The following is a 20,088-nucleotide window of genomic DNA, read 5'->3' as shown; positions in this document are numbered from 1 at the left end:
AAACGTGTTTTCACATGTGGCTTTTCTTGACTCAGGTTCATCCAAATGTGCAGTGCTCATCTGACTCGCTCATCACCATGCAGTGGGGCTGCATGGATGAAGCTAATTTGTGCCGGGCCTATTTGGAAGCTGGTGTTCCCGTCATGAAGACTCAGAGGTAGGGCACTCAACTGAGTGAACTCTAGGTAGGAAAGAACAGTGACCACAGAAACGTAGTGTCTCTCTGAAGCTGGAAATTTGATCCCAGGTGAAAGCAACCCAGCAGCTGACTACTCAATGTCTACTGTGTAGTTCCAAGGTTTAGTTCAACTGACTGCAGATCACCGAAACCTCAGCTAGACCCTGGTTCAAGGCTTTTGGTGGTAGAAGAAGTTATGTGTGCAGGCTTCACTGTCAGAGAGACTTAGGCTTTGCTCTCCGCTCTTATGCTCTCTAGCAGAGCCATCTTGGATGAATTGCTGAACTTCACACCATAATCTGGATGTGATAATGTTTACTATACAGACTTCAGGTAAGGATTTAATTGAGATCATAGACAGAAAGCACTAAGTAAGCATTCCCTAACCCATGCTAATGCACAAAACTTGTTGGTTACTATGATTACAAAAGCTGCCACAACATCTCTCTTGAAGCTTATAGTGTAAGGGGAAAAGGGGTGCCGGGCACAAAGTTCCTCTAAACAGAGTTGAGCAATGCTTTTAAGAACTGTTGGAAATAGATTTTACTATCCCCATTCTTCCCATGAGGACATGAAAACCCCTAAAACCTAAAGTTTTGCTCAAGGCCACATAGCTAATCATAGGGCCTGGATGAAAATCTGTGTCCGCTGGAACTGTCTCCCATTAAAGGCCATGAACTTTCCATAACATCAGCAGCCACTTCTGACTTCTCACTCTTCCACGGAGAGGCTGGACACTGGGGAACATGTTGTTTCAACTAATTTTACCTTTGTTATCACATTCAGTAAGTGGTATTTATGTTGGCTGTCCTTTATGTCTCATTTGATTAGGCTTCAGGAGAACAAATGATATAGTAGTCACAAGAAGACTTGATAAAACAGGATATTCCTATCTCAATTTTTTTTTCTGGCTTTCTCTTGATTTGAGGAGCCCATAGGAAGAACAAATAAAACCAAAGCATGAGTGGGTAAAAGAATGCCCATCAGTAAAGCAGCAAACGAGCTTTGAGCTCTTTGGAGAATTCCATTAATAAAAGTACTTTTGCACTTGCCACTGTTGACAGAGATGGAGGACTTGGGTCTCCTAACACCGTCAAGCTGCACCTTTGTGTAACACATCTAATCCACTACAGAGGGACAACTTTCAACTGATGCCTACAGTTTTTCCTTCTCTGAAGCTTAGTGACATTCATCGTTTTCTTCTCACATTTTCTTTTAAATGCCCCAGTGCATGACTACCTTTTCAAGGGTTTGTCCCTTTTCAGTAAGAGAGAAATCAACTATAGCAGACACTGGGAGGCAGGGTCCACAGCTCTCCCAAGAATGACAATAATGTGATGGTTTAGGCATCTGACCCTTACTCATTGCTCTCTCCAACTCTGTTCCATTTTGATATTAATTAAAAACAGTTTTAATCTAAAACCCGTCTATCAAAAGAAGAACTGCTTGAAGCAATATATGCCTCCTGAAGTCAATGTCATGTGACTTTACTCCACTTGAATTACCTGAAGCAAGACAGTAGTAGTAATAGCTATCATAGTCCAGCTACCATTTCTTTTCTTTTTTTTTTTTTTTTTTTTTTTTTTGAGATGGAATTTTGCTCTTGTTGCCCAGGCTGGAGTGCAATGGCATGATCTTGGCTCACCACAACCTCCGCCTCCCAGATTCAAGGAATTCTCCTGCCTCAGCCTCCCCAGTAGCTGGGATTACAGGCATGCACCACCATGCCCGGCTAATTTTGTATTTTTAGTAGAGACGGGGTTTCTCCACGTTGGTCAGGCTGGCCCAGCTACCATTTCTTAAGAACTTGTGATGCGTCAACCACTGCACCAAAGGCTTTATGTATTAATACAACATTGCATACAGTTCTCACAACGGTCCTGTCGTTTGGGTAGACTGTCAGTCATCTTTATTTCCAGATTAGGACATTGAAGGAAATGGAGGTTTAAATGTTAAAGTTAGGATTAAGGTTAGGAAATTAAAATAACTTGCCCAAATTCACACAGCTAGAAAATGATAGAGTTAGATTCCAATTTCACGTCTGTTGGGTTCAACAACTTGGATTAAAAAATAATAATAATTTATTGAGATAAAACTTAACATAACATAAAATTAACCATTTTAAAGTGATCAAGCAGCTTCTCCTCATTCCTCCCAAATCCAGGCAACCATTAATCTACTTTTTGTCCCTATGGATTTATCTATTCTGGCTACTCCTTATAAATAGCATCATATATAATTTGTGACTTTTTGTGTCTGGCTTCTTTCACTTAACATAATATTTTTGAGATTCATCCATATTGTGCATATCAGTACTAAGCGCCTGGACTTTTAACCTCCACACAGTGATCGAATGAGGGAATTCTTCAGGTCCAGCCAAACTAAAGGGCAGTTCAACTTGTGTTCCTCCCACTGTATGCCATACTTTTCTGGTAGCTTCCAGATCTACACTGAAGACTATGCTACCAGTTTAGAATGAAGAGTATTTAACCTTTTGCATAAAATATCTTCAAGAATTTAGGTTGGTAAAATGGTATTACCTGGCAACTTTTTCACACTTGCTAGGATGAAGACATAGACTGCAACGGGACAAATAAAGTGATGTCAAGATCTCAGAGAAAGCTAAATTCCCATGAGCCATTTGAAATCTGTTCTTGCAACCCTGTGCAATAATAATAATAGCAGGGACATCCCTCTCTGAATAAGGTTTGCATGAAGAAAACAAAGGGCTCAAAAAACACATTTGTTTCAAAAAGTAGAAAATGACAGAATTATTTATATCGAAGGTCCAAAGAAAATGACTAATCTGATCTTTCATCTAAAAAATTATGAGCAAGGTAAGTCACATGTTCTTAAATTTTTTGGCAAACTAACATCTATGTTCCCATCTGTTTTTAAATACGTACAAGCTGTGTGAACTTCAGAACTCTTAAGGTCTCAGAGCCTCAGTCTACACATTTCTAAAACGAAGTCAGCAATACCTATTGAAGGGTGGTTTGGGCACTGAGTAATATTATATAGATATCAATCAATATTAGTAATAATCTAAGAAATGTATGTAAAAATAACAAGATAAAATTTCGCTTATAAAATTAGCAAATAATGTGGGAATTTTGTTTGATTTTAAGAGGTTGGTGGCTGATAGGAGTGTAAATTGGTGCAATCCTTCTGGAGGAAAAATTTGTCAACTAAATATCAAGACTTTTAAGTGTTCGCATACTTGGATGGAGAAATCCCACTTTAAAAATTTTTTCCTATGGACATAATTAGGAATGTTCACAATTTTCATAGGCAAAGATCCATATAGATTTTTAAGTCTGCTCAATACTGTTAAGAGCTCTTGACTTCCTACATGGCATTCTAACCTACAGCCCATAAAAATTCTTTGCATGGGATCCCAACTTTGGTTTAACTTAAATTTTCTGTCTGCTCATTGCTTCCAAGGGTTACCTCTGTTAGGACTAGGTGTTCAGCTTCTCATTATTTCATGTACTGTCCTGCACACCTATCTTCAACCTCTCTCTTCCAGATAAAAAGGTCAAATAGTTATCATGCTGAAAAATATTAGAAAGATTTATCCAAAAGTTGGGCACTGGTTAAATAAATTATAGGGAAATTGTACAGTAATTTCAAGTTATAATTTAACTTTTGGCTTTGAGTATATATATTGCCTTCACACTCTCCTGAAACCCCACTGAAATAAAAGTATAAAAATTAAACAAAAAAACTTCATATGAATGAAAAGAATGGAAGGGATCATCACTAATGAATGGGATATTTCCAACAAATTTACAGCCCACATGGATGAGATCATGTTGATGGATAAAAGAGATAGAGAAAGCTGAAGCCTAAAATATTGTAGAAGGAGAATAAGAGCAAGCGGATGCCAGTTGGTCTGTTTTGCCTCCCAAGAGCCTTTGATCTTAAAGTCAGTGATTATGAGAGACACAGAACAGGGACTAGAAATAGGACTAAGAAGAAGGATTGAATGTCTGAATATAGAACAAGGGTCCAGTTTGGATCTGCAATAACATTTAAACAAGCTTTGTAAAAGTAGAGTACAAGCAGCTAGCATTTAGCTAGCATCAACCATTTCTTTAAAAAGAAGCTCAAGAAAGCTATAAAGGGAAAGTTAAAAATTTTTAATATGGATTTTTGTGCCCCAGTGCAAAGCCCTCGATACTCCAACATTTGAGGGGCCCATAGCCTGTCTATGGCTCTGAATCCATGTCGTAAAGACTGTCAGTGAAACTACCTTGACCCACACTTCCAAGCATTCTCATTCAGAGTAGATCCAGTAAAAGTGGAAAACATCCTCAACAACAAAGAAAAATCAATGCCAGGCATCCAGATCTTTTTTCTATAAAAGATTGATCAACCAGGGATGACTAGAAATATGAGAACCAAATAAAAGATGTTAAAAGTGGAAACAATGAAGATAACTCAAAACAGAACAAGAACAGAATGCTATGCAAAAAAAAAATGCAATTTAAACAAGATTTAGCACTTACATTTTCCAGTATTATTGTTAAAATTAGGAATTTAGAAAATAAAGTAAAAGATGCTCCCAAGGATTTAGGGACAAAAATATAGCTTGTCTAAAAAATGTGAGAAAGAAGCTAAGAGTTCTCATAAAGCAGACAAGAACCCCAGGAAAAAAGAGGCAAAAAGAGTAGAAGAGGATAAATTTTTCTTTTCTTTTCTTTTCTTTTTTTTTTTTGAGGAGAAATTTTTCAACAAAGAATATGAGGAATAGAGAAGAGAGCATTTTTTCAGATTAAAAGAGTCAACTGAGAATCCAACAGTATAGATGGAAAAAAGATTTACATCTTGACATCACATAAAATTTCAGAATATCAGCATTAAAAATATCTGAGAAACTTCCTGGAAATGGAGGAGGGGTGAACAATTCAAGACCTAAGCACTAGGACAGGAGGGTGGAAACTAGTCTTTTTTTTTTTTTTAAAGAATAAAATTAGACTGCACCAAACTCCTCACTAGTGTCTACTAAAAACTACAAGTAGAGCTTGTTTTCAACTTTTTGTTTTTTTTAAGACACAGGGTTTCGTGCTGTCTGCCAGGCTGGAGTGCAAAGGCACTATCATAGCTCACTGCGGCCTCGAGCTCCTGGGCTCACGGGATCTTGTCACTTTAGCTTCAAAAGTAGGTAGGACTTCAGGAGTGTACCACCACAGCAGGCTAATTTAAAAAAAAATCTAGAGATGGGGACTGGCTATGTTGCCCAGGCTGGTCTCAAACTCCTGGCCTCATCGTCCTACCTCAGCCTCCCAAGTAGCTAAGAATACAGGAGCATCCATGTCCACCTTTCAACTTTCTCAAGGGACATACTGTTAAACCTAGAATGGTATGGCCAGTTAAATGATTAATCAAATATGAAGTTATTTGCAAACTCTCAAAGACTAAGTAAGTGTACTGAAATAAGTTTCTTGAGTATGACTGCAGTAAAATATAGAAGCCAATGGACAAGAAAGAAAGAAAGAAAGAGAGAAAGAGAAAGAAAGAAAGAAAGAAAGAAAGAAAGAAAGAAAGAAAGAAAGAAAGAAAGAAAGGAAAGAAAGAAAGAAAGAAAGAAAAAAATTTTGATACACAATAAGGACCTGCTAAGGAGCATAGGGAAAGAAGGTCCCAGGATGACAGCTCAGACCTGGAGAGCCAATAAAAGCAGAGATGGAGAAGGAGGACAGAGGCCTTCAAAAGGAAAGTCTAAGAAGACAAAAAGCCTTAATTGTGTAACTTCTGTAACTGAAAAGTTGGAAAAATATAATAATAAGTTACATCATACAAGAAAAAATAATAATTAGATACTCTATGAAAAAAAGTGCATGGAAAAATCAAGATCCAAATAGGTAGCAAATCCAAAATATGGCAAGATTTTAAGTAATTGATGGAATATCTGCAAAGAAAATTCATTTGACCTTGATGCTAAGAACATTCATTTGAGTAGCACATATAACCTTGTGCATTCTCTTCAACAGCTCTTAGCATTAAATTGTCTATTTAGATGCCTGTATCCCCTATGGGGGCAGGAATAATGTCAATTGTGTTTGCTAATGGGCCTTCAATGCTTTTCATGGTCGCTATAAAATGAAAATATCAATGGCAAGCATTCTTTCTTAGATATTCGCTATGACTGTGGACTATGGCTTTTTGTTTCATTATTTCATTGGACTTTTCAATTTATATAAGGAAGAAATTATTATAGCTCTCATTTTACAGATCAGAAAACTGAGGCTCTTTAAAGGGTTAATTAATTTGTCTAAGATTATCCAACTAAGTGATAGAACCAGTACAAGAGCTTATATCAGGCTGGGTGTGGTGGCTCATGCCTGTAATCCCAGCACTTTAGGAAGCCAAGGGAGGCAGATTGCCTGAGCTCAGGAGTTCGAGACCAGCCTGGGCGACATGGTAAAATCCTGTCTCTACTAAAATACAAAAAATTAGCGGGGTGTGGTGGAGTGCACTGGTAGTTCCAGCTACTCGGGAGGCTGAGGCAGGAGAATTTCTTGAGCCCGGGAGGCGGAGGTTGCAGTGAGCCAAGATTGCGCCACTGCACTCCAGCCTGGGAGACAGAGTGAGACTCTGTCTCAAAAACAAAAAGAGCTTCTATCTATTAGACTCCATGGCTCATGCTCTGTCAATCAATACAAATTTGTTGAACAAATAATTGCTAACAATAAAAGAAAGTTTAATAAATACTGTGATATTATTACACATAGTAATACATATCATATTAATTAATGTATGTATACACTAATTTATTCTACATATAATTTTGGAGTATCTATCCCGGTGCCAAGATCTGGGCTGTATGATCTACATATATATTAGCAAACAAAACATAGACCTGGACCCTACTCTTCTGGAATTTACTTTCTTTCTTTTTTTTTTTTTTGAAGTGTTGTGCTGAGTGGTTGTGGGAATAAACAAAACACAATTTTATTGTCATCATCAAACTCATCAATTAGTAACATTTCTTAGCTCTTGAAACCCTTTGAAAGGCTGATAAAAGCTGTTGGTCCTCCCCTCAAAATAAGCACTTATTAAACCCAATGCTCTGGAATTTACTTTCTGATGTGGGAGGCAAACAATGAACAAACAAAAGCAAATAAATTGCTAAAATTTGCTAAAAATTATAAAATTATTAAAAACCAAGTTGAAAATGGAATAATATTGCAATCACAGTGGGGAGGGGCTGAAGTGGGAGAAAGGGCATTTCTAAATGGGACGTGCAGAGGAGGCCAAGCTGATTAGATGATCCTTAAGCTAAGTCGGAAGCTGAGCTATCAATACGAACAGTGGGGGAAAGAAGATTCCAGGCAGCATGAACAAGACTGATGTTCAAGGAATTGAAAAAAAAAAATGATCTAGTGTGGCTAGCATGTAATTTAACAGAAGAGAGGTACTAGATAAAGTTGCAGGAAGTGGCAGGGGATAGTATGCACAGGGTATAGACTATAGTAGTGACAGTGGATCTTATTCTAGGTTCAGTGGGAAGCTACTGGAGCTTTAAGAAAAGCAGTGGCAGGACTTACAATAAGGAATACTTTTGTGCTAGGCAGAGAATGTAATGAGTTTGGAGGTTGTTGTGGGTAGATCATAAGAGATGATGGCAGCCTTGACTGGAATGGTACATTAGAGTTTTAAGAAAAGTGGATGTGTTTTTGAGAGGTATCCTAGTGATAGAATGAGAGGACACACTGATTAATACATGGGCCAGGGTAGTTCAGGAGAAAAAGAAAAGGATCAAAGAAGAATACTGAGTTTCTGGGTTCATTTACCAGATAGGGAAGATTGAATGGATTGCATGGACAAGTTTGGCACAAGCCAAGGATTATTTTTTTGGACACGCCAAGTTTGAGATGCCTATGAAATATCCAAAGAGAGATGTCAGTGGGTCTTTAGCTATGCAAGTCTGAAATTAAAGGAAGAGTTTTGGCCAGCATGTGTAAAATCAGAAGTCATTTACCATCTAAATGTCCTCATTCTAAAATGACATATTTCCACAGCAATTGTATTTATTCCAACATCTCTGATGCTGAGGTTTTAAAAATAAGTTGTTTATGTGCCTTTTCTCTACTATCTAAGGTCTCTACCAAAATACATTGCATCAAAAACATTTTATGTCCACAAGGGGCAAATAAAATAAATAAATAATTATCTCTAAAGCTCATAATTTTGGAGATAAGTGCATTTCTTTAAAAGAAAGTCCATATTCTTGTCCTTCAACAGACAAATATCTATGGACTTCATGGGTATAAATTAAGGTACTTTTACTTTTACTTTAAGCCATGCTTACAGGTTATGCCCGTCTCTAAGCAAGGGCTGTGGGTGAACTGCCTGTGGTCCTCTAAGGGATGGTTCTAGAGCGGTGTAGGATAATGACAAAGGCTTTTTGCTTCAACTGCTTCATATGCCCATACCTGGGAGGCTGAACTGATCAACTTCATGGAAGCCAGAATTACAGAGCTGGCAGTAGACAAAATGCAGAGGTAGGTGTGGAAGGATCCTGTCACAGTTTCTAAATTATATATTATAACATCTAAAACTACTATTTAATGAACGCTTACTGCATACCTCACCCGACATGAGATGCTATGTGTTTGTTATCTAATTTGATCCTCACAACAACATTAAACATTTTTTTTTTACATTTACAAATGCATTTAATGCCTAAATCACAAAGGAGGAACATGGAGCTCAGAGAGGTTAAGAAATGTGTACAAGGGCACACGACAGATGCAAATATAGATCTGTTGACTTCATAGCTGTTGTTTTTGAGAAGTGATACAACAAGGCGGTTAAGACTGTGGGTTCTAGAGCTGGAGTGTCTAGGTTCACATCCTGGCTCTGCCATTTACTGACTCCATCTCCTTGGGTAATTTACTTACTGAACCTGTGCCTCAGTATCTTTACATGTAAAATGGGCATGACACTGGTATAAAGTGTCATATAAAGCTGTGAGAATTAAAAACCTTGCTTCTTATGAATCCCTGAGAACAGTACCAGGCACACAGTAAATACTCAATGTATGTTATCCTTTCTTCTCTGCTACAGTGATGACCTTAGCAACTTAGATACCTCTCATTGAGCTTTGATCACCTGCTAATTTCAGACCTAGACTTCCCAGAACATTAGCAAGTTAGCTGCATTTTAGATTTGTGAGAGCAGGCTAAAGATAAAAGTTTTAACTTGTAGAAATCTTTAATTGTCAGGGACAAGGTTTTTTAAAGTGAAGGGAAAAGGAAGGAAGGAATCAACCATTTCTTAACCACGTGTTACATAAAAAGCACTTTTCAAATATTTATTTTGCTTATTCTTCATTACAACCCTTTGAGATAGGTATGTTTCCCCTTCCTACAGAGAATAAAAAAGAGGCACGGGAGGTTGGATGATTACCCAAGCCACACTCTTTATAAGTACATACTTAGTGTCTCTAACAGCATCAGGACGTGTACCAGAAATTCATTTTATACCCTTTTACCTTTTAACTAGTTAAGTGGAAGGAACAATGAAAACACAGGACTTCTTTCACTCATTTAACATGCACTTACTACAGACACTATTATGTGTGCTTCACTCATTCATTTTGCTCAGTCCTTATGATAACCCCAGATGGCCCTATTATCATCCCCACTTTACAAATGGGGGAGACTGAGAGACCGAAGGGAAGCCACTTGCTCAGGGTCACAGAGCTGGTGAGGAGCAGGGCTATGATTCACACTCAGACAGTCCTGTGGCAGAATCCCAGCTCTTTGGCACTGGACCACACTGCTTTCTGGTGAAAGAAAGAGAGCAAAGGAAGGAGAGAATGATCTCAGCTTGAAACTGAACTCAGGGGTCCAGAAGTAGAACGCGAAGAGAGCCACTTGAGGCCCCATCCTCTGACCAGTATGTCCTCTCCATCTTTCTAGATCAGAGTCCACTAGATTCCTTGTGCAATAAATACTTGTTATTACCTCCTGTTTTCAAATGAATTTGTCAAATGCCACCTAAACCCTTGTAGGAAGTCCCGGACTCACGGCACTGTCAATACATGCCAATTTCTCATGCCTCTGAGTCAGGGGATGCTCTGCAATACCTCCCTCCACCCACCCTGAAAGGAATGAAGCCTTCACTATCTCCTCTGTCGAAAGTTACCTGAGTCAAAGCACAAGGAGGGCCTAGTGCCTGGCGCCCCCTGAGAATCCCTCAAGCTAGCTCTGTGGTGTTTTCCGTCTGTGTTTTGAGATCCCTCCGTAACACGGTCCCGGTGGTTTTGTCTCACCTCCTTTTAGAAACCTCCCATGATTCTTCTAGGGTGAAAAGGAAATCTAACCAATCTATGCAAACACCCCAAGCTACTCTAGCTATATACAGGTTCAAGCTACATTTCTATAAACCAAACCAACTTAATAATGTAAACACTTGCAGGAAACAGAGGTAGCCAAAAACATGGGGGAAACCATAATGAATATTCAAGTAATGGGAACATAATATCACATCATCATGAGGGAAGGGACCTAAACAGTCCCTTTTTCCAGAGCTCCACGCACCTTCCATCCTAATGATGCATTTCTACAGCAATGAAACAAACTATTGCTCAACTTCACAGGTCACTGGCAATTGATCAGCACTAAGGGTTAAAGTAATTAACATAGCTGGCCAGTCTGATCACAATGGAAATAAGAATTAATAAAATTTAATAAATGGAAAATACCCTAAATGTGTGGATTTTTTTCATTTGATTTTTTTCTTAATTTCTGACATGGGTATCATCAACTTCTTAAAGTATCAAGAATACATAAAAGTGAACATCTGTTTTATAATATATGAAATGTTTGTTATAACAAACATTTTTTCTTTGGACTTCTTTGGCTCATTGCTAAGATACATGCTGTAGATACCATTTAATCTTCAAGGCTTAGTAGTGTAGTAAGAAGCCAAACTTCATTTTGCTGAAAATAATGATAGCTCCAGTACTAAGTTATTGCACAATTTCCCTTCCAGTGCTTGAACTCATCATCATAACAATAACAATATTTTTATATGGCACCTCTCAGCCATAGCATCCAATGCACCAAATGGAGCCATACACTTAGAACACATTAAACCCATTAGATGTGATATAAAAACAGAGAAAGCTATTTAACTAGCATGGAATGGTGAGATAAGGCCATAGAGAAAAAATGTGGCTTTGGATATTTTTAACAGAAGAACTCAATCCATGGCACTGCTTACGGGACCAGGCGTCCCAGAAACTCAAGGCATCCTGTGGTATGTACCACCAACATAGATATGTCTCCAGTCTCACTCAGAGTTCAGAAACGCCATATATCACTACTGCTTGAATCAATTTTGGCTCATTGTTTTTTAACTTAATAAGGAGGGCCTCAAGTGCCAGTATCTATAGGTTGTCTATTTTTAACCACATCAATGACCCTTTGATAGTCATCAGTGTTATCCACCAAATTTCCAGTTTCTGCAGATAACGGAAATGAGGCACTGAGGAAAAAGTCTCAATCATGGAGGTTTATTAAGCCAGCTTTAGGGTACATCCAGGAAAAACACGAGCCATAGACACAGCTGTGGCTATTTTTCCCAAGAGTTTTCAGGCTGTCCAGTATATATACATTTCCTTAAGGGGGAGAGAAAGCATGTAGGAAGAGGGCCAGGTACAAGGTAGAGTGGATGGTTACATTCCTGTGAGACTTTAGTTAGTGCCAGGTAAATCTACATTTTACATGTAATAAGGTGAATGTTTGAAGAGAAAAAGAAGTAAAGGAAGTGTAAATTATGCAAGTTTCTCTGGGTAGGTGGAAATAATTGGTCTCCTCTTATCTTTGTTCTGCACCTGGAAAGATAAGCTTGTAATCTACACCATCGGTGTGGAATCCAACAGACTTTAGATTTAGGAGCTAGACTTACATTGCAGGCCTAAAGTTATAATTGGCACGCCCTTGTTTCTGGGAGGCCAGCAAAAGATTTGCCCATGATTGATCTGTGGGAGCAGTCTTTCATAGATGCCCAAGGCCTTTTACCTTGTGGGGATCTGGCTAATGTATAATGCCAGTAACAGCTTCATTTGGAAAAGGGCATTGCACGACTCAGCCTCCAGGCTTAACTTTCCCTTTTGCAAAGGAGTTTGGGGGTCCTGAGATTTTTTTTTACTTTCCTTTATACTAGTTTCCAGGAATATGACAGTATTACACACCCTTGTCCCTTCGGGGTTGGGTAAAACTGTGTGAGCCCAATGAATTGTGAATGAAAGAAATGTGGGCCGGATGTGGTGGCTCATGCCTGTAATCCCAGCACTTTGGGAGGCTGAGGTGGGCAGATCATGAGGTCAGGAGTTTGAAACCAGCCTGGCCAACATGGTGAAACACTGTCTCTACTAAAAATACAAAAATTAGCCAGGCGTGGTGATGCACGCCTATAATGCCAGCTACTCAGGAGGCTAAAGCAGGAGAATCGCTTGAACCCGGAAGGTGGAGGTTGCAGTGAGCTGAGATCGCACCACTGCACTCCAGCATGGGTGATAAAGTGAGACTCCATCTCAAAAAAAAAAAAAAAAAAAAAAAGAAAGAAAGAAAAGAAATGTATATGTCATCTCCAGGACAGAACCCTCAATTGTTGATTTAAGACCCTGTCGGTCTCCCTGTCTCTTTGGCAGTGTGTGAGAATGGTGACTGTTCCACCAGCCTGGGTACCTGTCAACCCATGATGGACAGGTAGTGTAAGAAATACATTTGTGTTGTTTTAAGACACTGTTATTTGGGAATTGTTTGTTATCCCACCACAAACTAGCCTATTAAGATTGACACATGCCTCAGTTTCAGTGTAGAGACCCACTTGCCTGGACTAGAGGAGAAACTCATTAATCTAGTTCCTCAGTACTCCTTTAAAAAGCATTCACTCCAGACATTCCAAATACTTTGAAATGGCTCATTTTGTGTGTAGCCAATTTTGGCCAGTGGAATGATGATACTAGCTATTATTTATTGAGTACTTACACGTGTTAAGCACTTGGCATAATGCTTTCTATATATTACCTTCTTTGATGCACTAAATGAATTTAAAAGGTAGGATCATTATGACACCATTTTCTCAATGAAGAAAGTGGGGTTAAGTAACTGTATCAAAATTACACAGCTTGTCAACTGAAGAATTTCATTAGAACTTAGGCTGGTTAAATACAAAGTGCGTGCTCGTTAACACTGGGATGTACTTCCTCCCTGCATAATGTGGAAGAAAATCTGCTCTCATATCAGTGGCTGGATAAATACCATTCTTTAGCAGATGGTGTTATAAAGCAGTACTGTATTATAAATACTTATATATTTCATGATTGCTAATCCATTAAGGCATTTATCTTTCATTTGAAAAAGAAACAGGGCAACTTGTATTTGATTTATCTATCTTGTTCCAACCCACTGAAATGTCATAGTAGATTATCCATTTCCTACTGGAAAAATATATGGCCCATAAGGAAATACTATTCATATTCATTAGTAAACATGCTGTCTCCCCTCAAAGTGTGCTACCCAAACCTTCCGCTGAGGTCTCTGAAAAATGTGGGACTGGAAGAAGCTCTCTCCTGACTGTTTTTTTTTTTTTTCCAACACTAGTGTTTGCGTGTCATTATTTTAGACACTCACGAATACTCAAAAGGGTGAAGAAACACCTTGCTGACAACGTGCTCTTTGCCAAAATAATCAATTCTTCCTCTTCTTTGCCTTCTAGAATTCAAATATTCAATACAAGCTCTTTGGGCGCATTCCCAAGACTTTGTTTGGTTAGATTTCACCATGGAAAACAAAATTGGTTCAGCTGAAGTCTATAGCCAGAATATTTTAAGCTCCATAGTCCTTCAAAGTAGTGACCTTCTCCTCACCTCCTCTGCCTCTGTGCTCCATTAAGGAAAAAACCGGAAATTTCCAGTCAGAGAAGCCAGATCACGTTTCGATTCAATTTTAAAAGGAGCAACTAAACAGAGCTATAGTAGGTGCTTATCTGTGGCTCTTACCTCAAATGAGCTTTGAAAAGTTTTTCTGTAAACTTGATGATACTAGTCTTTCAGAATTTAATAAATTTTTTCTGAACGTTTTAGTCACTATAGTAAAAGAATTAGTCTTATATCAACCATCTTCTATTCCTTCCCCAGAGTCTTTAAGATCACACAAATGACGGTTATATTCCAAGCAAAGAGAGAATCAAGAAAATTAGGCCCCCCAAACCTGCTGCTAAGAAAAAGGGAATATGTTAATTATTTGTCGAACAATTGATCTTAGTTTTTCCCTTTCACCTTGCCTTTGCAGTCCAGATGGAAATGTTTTAGGAGAAAGTCCTTTCTCTCTATGCCCCTATTTGAATTTTGGCATGACCATCCTCTCAATAACAGCACTCTAATCCCTGGCCTTACTTATACCTTGCTAGCCCCACAGTCCTATCTCTGAAAATGTCTTTCACACACACCCACACTTCTGATCTTTTCTGTCATCCCCTTGGTTCAAAGCACTGTGCAATATGAGGACAACTTGTTCAATCCTTCTCCCCTGCTGTTTCTTCCAGCCAAACTGCACTTACTCTCCGCTGGACCTGAGGCTGTGTGGGTATATGTGCCAAAATGGAATGCATCTCAGCTTGGCAATCCTCAAGTCTACAATATTCTCAAAGCTCTGTTTAGGCTAACTTAATGTTGGACCTTCCCCTTTTCCCATAGTCCAAAGAAACATCTCCCTTCTTTGACTCCCTATAACATTTGATCTGCTTCTCCTCAGTGTTGTACCTCACTTTCTAATTGCATTATCTCTTGTGATCTTTGCTGACAACAAAATTAATGTTTTGTTCATTGTGTATCCTCCACAGCATCTACCATATGAGTATTCCATCAGTAAGTGCTGAAAATGTTAGACAAAAATAAAAAATAAAAAATAAACCACCAAAAACCAAAACCCACTAGATTCCTAGAATAGAAAACAAGGCCACTAGAAATATGTGAAATATAGAACTAAAGGGAGGTCAAGGCTTACAGATTGGTACATTTTGCACTACATTTCTAAGTGAAGTCATCTTGACTCTTCTCTTTCTCTTACATGTCATATCCAATCCATCAGCAAATTCTATTGATTCTGGCTTCTAAACACATACAAAATCCAATCACTTTTTACAGCCAGCCTAATGCTAGCTACCATCATCTCTTGCTGGATTTCTGTGAGAGCTTCCTATTGATACAGACAGGAGGCAGGGAAGTACTGGGTAGAAGAGGGCGGTCCCTGGCGAGGGCCCCACCCTCAAGCCTGGACCTGCGGTCCAAAATGAGAACTTTAACATCCCTGTTTTCCCACCCGAAATGTTGCCTTTTCCAAAACCACCCTGGCCCACCCTGCCCCCAACCCTGTACCCATAAAAACCCCAAGCTCCACTGGCAGGAGAGCAGAGTGGAGCAGCAGAGATGAGAAGAGAAGCAGCAGCCAGATGTCAGAGAAAAGCAGGTTGACTTCAGAGGGGTGACTTGATGGCGGGACTTCCGAGAAGAGTTCGGTCATTCAGGAGAAAATTATCTTCCCACTCTGTCCCCCTTCCAGCTCCCCTTCCCACTGAGAGCCACTTCCACCTCTAAATAAAATCCTCTGCATACACCAGCCTTCAATTCATTTGGGTGACCTGATTCTTCCTGGACACTGGACAAAAACTTGGATACCAAGAGGGCAGGGTGTAAAAGGCTGTCACCCTGACCCTCCACTGAGCTGGTTTACACTTAGCCATCTGCAGATGGAAAATGCTAAAAGAGCACTGATTGTAACACATGCCTTCTGGGGCTCCGGGAGTTGCAGACACCCCTTCCCAGACAGCAGAGCTAAAAAAGCATTGTAACATGCTTGGATGCTGCCGTGGTTCCTGTACAAAGCCTGCTCCCACCAGAGAGGAGCAACTGGCTGGTTCCAGTGTTGATTTGCCCTGGTTCCTGCACCCACTCACCTGAGTACTCCCCTTCCCGTGATGGGTTTAGAGCTGCGGGCCGAGTAAATGAGCCACCCCTTCACAAGTCTTGCAAAGAGGTCAAGGGAAATATCACTACCAGCTCTCCCTGCCTGCAGGCTTTCCTTCAGTGTATTCTCAACAAAGCAGCTGGAGTCACCCTTTAAAAACAAGTCCAGTCATGTCATTCCTCTGCTCAAAACACTGTGAGGCTTTCCCTTGCTCTTCACAATAGGCGATGGGGTTCTACATAATCCACTCCTCTTCCCACCAAGCCACCCTGTGCCTTCCTCTCTTGCACTGCTCCCTCTGGCTCAGTCTGCCCCACCCACACTGGCCTCCTTGCTGTTCACCAAGCATGTTCCTCCTTGGGAACTTTGCTCCAGCCATTCTTCTCTGCTGGGAACATTCTTCCTCCTAAAATCTACTCACATCATTCCCTCACGTCCTTCACATTTCTGCTCAGTGAGGCCTACACTGACTCACTTCAACTTTTTTTTTTTGAGACAGAGTCTCTCTCTGTTGCTAGGCTGGAGTGCAGTGGCGTGATCTCAGCTCATTGCAACCTCTGACTGCCTGGTTCAAGCAATTCTCCTGCCTCACCCTCCCGAGTAGCTGGGATTACAGGCATGCGCCACCATGCCCAGCTAATTTTGGTATTTTTAGTAGAGACGGGGTTTCACCATGTTGGCCGGGATGGTCTCTATCTCCTGACCTCGTGATCTGCCCGCCTCGGCCTCCCAAAGAGCTGAGATTACAGGCGTGAGCCACCACGCCCAGCTTCACTTCTACTTTTTTTCATCCTGCCACCCTGACTGCTACTTTCCATCGCCCCTTTGGCCAGTTTACCTCCTTTCTTCCAGAGTCCTTTTCATGTACATCTACCATTCTTTATCTGTCTTTCTCTGCTAGAATGTACATGTTATAATGGTAGAGATCTTTGTATTTCCTCAAGAGGGAGTGAATGAGGGACTGATTGAGTTTAACCAAGCTTTGAATTCAGTCCTCAGGTTTCTAAAACAAGGAAACTCAAAGTGCTCACAACCTCAAAAAACAAATTCTGTCAAACAGATCTAAAAGCAAGGTGAGGCATTTTCACTGAACATGAACCAAAATAGTCTCATGTAGACAAGAAAATGTTAAATGCAATGTGTCTGTTCTCACTGCACCTGACTTTACAGAATTGTGCAACTTGCATGTATGTTACCCACAAGAAAGAGGCCCTGCAATATTCCAAAAATGAAACATTCTAACAGCTGTGTGAAATCTTTGAGTATAAAGATCCACTTTATAAGTTGGATAAAAACAGGTGTTCAAGAACAATTTTAAGTTCTGTGAGGGCAGGAATCTTATCTGTTTTCTTTGCATTGTGTGTCCAGAGTCTAGTAAATTAACATGCTCAATAAATATTTGTTAAATGAACAAATAAATGAAGAGGAAGAGTTTCTACATTTTCAGAAATAAACAAGAATGCAAAAGGTAATTTAACTTTTCACTTAAAGGTTTTATCATCTGGGTGTTGGTATGATACCAAATTTACCTTAATTTAATTTGTTTAGATGTTAAGCTTTTAGTATGACAGTAATAGGTAAGACTCCATGAACCATGCAAAATGAGTCAGGAAAACACTGTCAGACTTTAAAAAAATGCTTATTATTTCTTCTTGGAAGAACATATTTTTTGTTATTTTTTTAAATGATTATTTGTTTTCCTACTTGGAAAACATAAGTCTTATTTCTTATTTCTATGAGACTGTAATTTGTACAATTGTACAATAAACTTATTTTGTTTCCCATGTTTCTCTTTGGTAGTGGGTGTTGCAAATTTCATATAATAATAATAATAATGATATGTGTCTGTTGTGGTACACAAACATTTTCCTATTTATTGTTTCTTCCCCTTCTGCATATTCTCCTTATTAACTATTTAGACTGATGCTTACAAAATGCCCTCCAATGTTCCTAATATTAATTCTGTGGTTATTCTTTCCCAGTATATTTTGAATTATTTAAAAGTATTTAACACACAAGGTGAAAAGGGCTAATTAGTACTGAAAATCTGAAATGTTTTTATTTTCACAGTTTCATTGTGGATCTGAGTATGGTCATTTATTTTTTATGTACTAATTAAATACACGAGTAATATTCACTCTCCCCAAAGGGCCCTCTGCACAGTTTCCAACAAACAAAATTGGCTCTCTTCTCACACTAAGGGTAGAGATGGCCATTGTCTATGAAATGTTTAGGATATCCTCAGCCCATGCTGAGTGGGAAGACATTTCTTTCCACATTGAAACTTCATTAATTTTGCCTGAATCACAATCCAGCATAGGTAATGAAAAATATGAAATGTATCATTTCTTATAAATAAATGAAACTATGTCAGAGATGTCTTACAAACCTGTAAGAAAACTTACTCTAGTAAAATACACAAGTGGATTATAACTAGTAAATCAATTCTTTGTCTACAACAGGTACTTGTTCTGTGTTTGAGCATGCTTATTTTTAAGAGTAACTGAAACATTCCCTGTGTAATCATAATTAAACCAACAATTTGTTTAGGAATGTCTTTAACAAGATAGCACAAAGATAAACATCAATTTAGTTGTCGTCATCTATAATAGATGATCATATATTCAAAATTAATGAGAACCAAATTTGAAATATAAATACTCTTAGGTCTCTAAGTCTAAAGGTCTGTAAAACAGGAAGATGTAGTCTCAGATAATGATTTATAAATTATTGTCTGTAAAAAAGTTATTGATGAATGAATAAAAGAATAATTTGTCATTTGTGTTAATACATTTTGTTGTCTGTGTCAGCAAAATTTTATTTTGTTTATTAGGAAAAATAAATAAGTAAAAAGGAAGTACTCTCATGAGAAGGTTCCCACATGACATTTTGAATCTCATAAAAGAAAAAAAAAAGTCTAAGTAATATAACAATGATGAGTTATAAATTTAAGAGTCCTCCTTGGATTACACTGGTTTAAAAGTTTTTGTACCTTGAAATTATAAAATAGTTTATGTGAGGAAAGTGACTATTTTCATATACTATAAAAGGATTAGGTAGTTGGCAGTCTCTAAAAATAGTTGTTGTAACATAAAAAAAAACACCCAAATACATGTCTGTGTTTTAAAGAGACTTAGCAGGAGTTATTTGATATTTGTAATTTATGTTTTCTCTATTTTTATTTTGTCAGACTTAGCAGGAGTTTATCAATATTATTAACTTTTTTTTAAGAACCAGCTTTTGTTTCATTGATTCTATTCTCCTATTTTCAATTTATTGATGTTTGATCATACATTTATCAATACCTTCCTTTTACTTGCTTGGGTTTATTTTTTACTTTTTTTCCCCCTAGTTTCTTGAGGTAGAAACTTAGATGATTGATTTGAGACGTTTTGTCTCCGCTGATGTAAACATTTAGTGCTATAAATTTTCCTCACAGTACTGCTTTAACTGTGTCCTACAAATTTTGACATGTTATATTTTCATTTTCATTTAGTTGATTGAATGTTTTTTCTTTTTTTTTTTTTGAGTCTTCCTCAACCTACGCATCATTTAGAAGTATGTTGTTTAATTTCCAAGTGTTTGGAGGTTATCCTGTTGTCTTGCAGTTATTGATTTCTTGTCTGAGAACATATTCTATGATTTTGTGGTGGTCACCCTGCAGGACTGACCTCCACCCAAAACTTCATTTGGATGTTGAGACTTAGGATTACAAGCATATACCAAGAGGGTATGAAAGGATTATTATTCACATAATGAGACTTTCTGAGGAGTGCAGGATGACTCCCATGGAGTTCACAAAGTGGCTCAAATTTAGATAACGAGCCCTACTCACAGAGATTCCGCTTTAGTATGTGTAAGGCCAGGCTCAGCAATATGCATTTTTGAGTTGGCATGCTAGAAAACTGAGGTGGAAAACCT

The 20,088-nt window shown here is 38.5% G+C and overlaps 1 protein-coding gene and 1 long non-coding RNA gene across 20 annotated transcripts in view; one reads left to right on the top strand and one right to left on the bottom strand.

Annotated features, from left to right (window-relative positions):
- LOC105375242 (uncharacterized) overlaps positions 1-1,737 on the top strand; it is a 41,876-nt gene extending 40,139 nt beyond the window's left edge. For all 3 annotated transcript variants that reach the window (XR_927191.3, XR_001745181.2, XR_927192.3), the window contains exon 3: positions 36-1,737. This is a non-coding gene — a long non-coding RNA (uncharacterized LOC105375242). The remainder of the gene's footprint in view (positions 1-35) is intronic.
- Positions 1-20,088, bottom strand: part of SUGCT (succinyl-CoA:glutarate-CoA transferase) — a 903,812-nt gene that overhangs the window by 178,649 nt on the left and 705,075 nt on the right. The window lies entirely within an intron of this gene.

This window comes from Homo sapiens, chromosome 7 (genome assembly GCF_000001405.40).
Source record: "Homo sapiens chromosome 7, GRCh38.p14 Primary Assembly".
NCBI classification, from domain to species: Eukaryota; Metazoa; Chordata; class Mammalia; order Primates; family Hominidae; genus Homo; species Homo sapiens.
The sequence above is the reverse complement of the archived record's forward strand: the minus strand, read 5'-3'. Positions and strand labels throughout refer to the sequence as shown.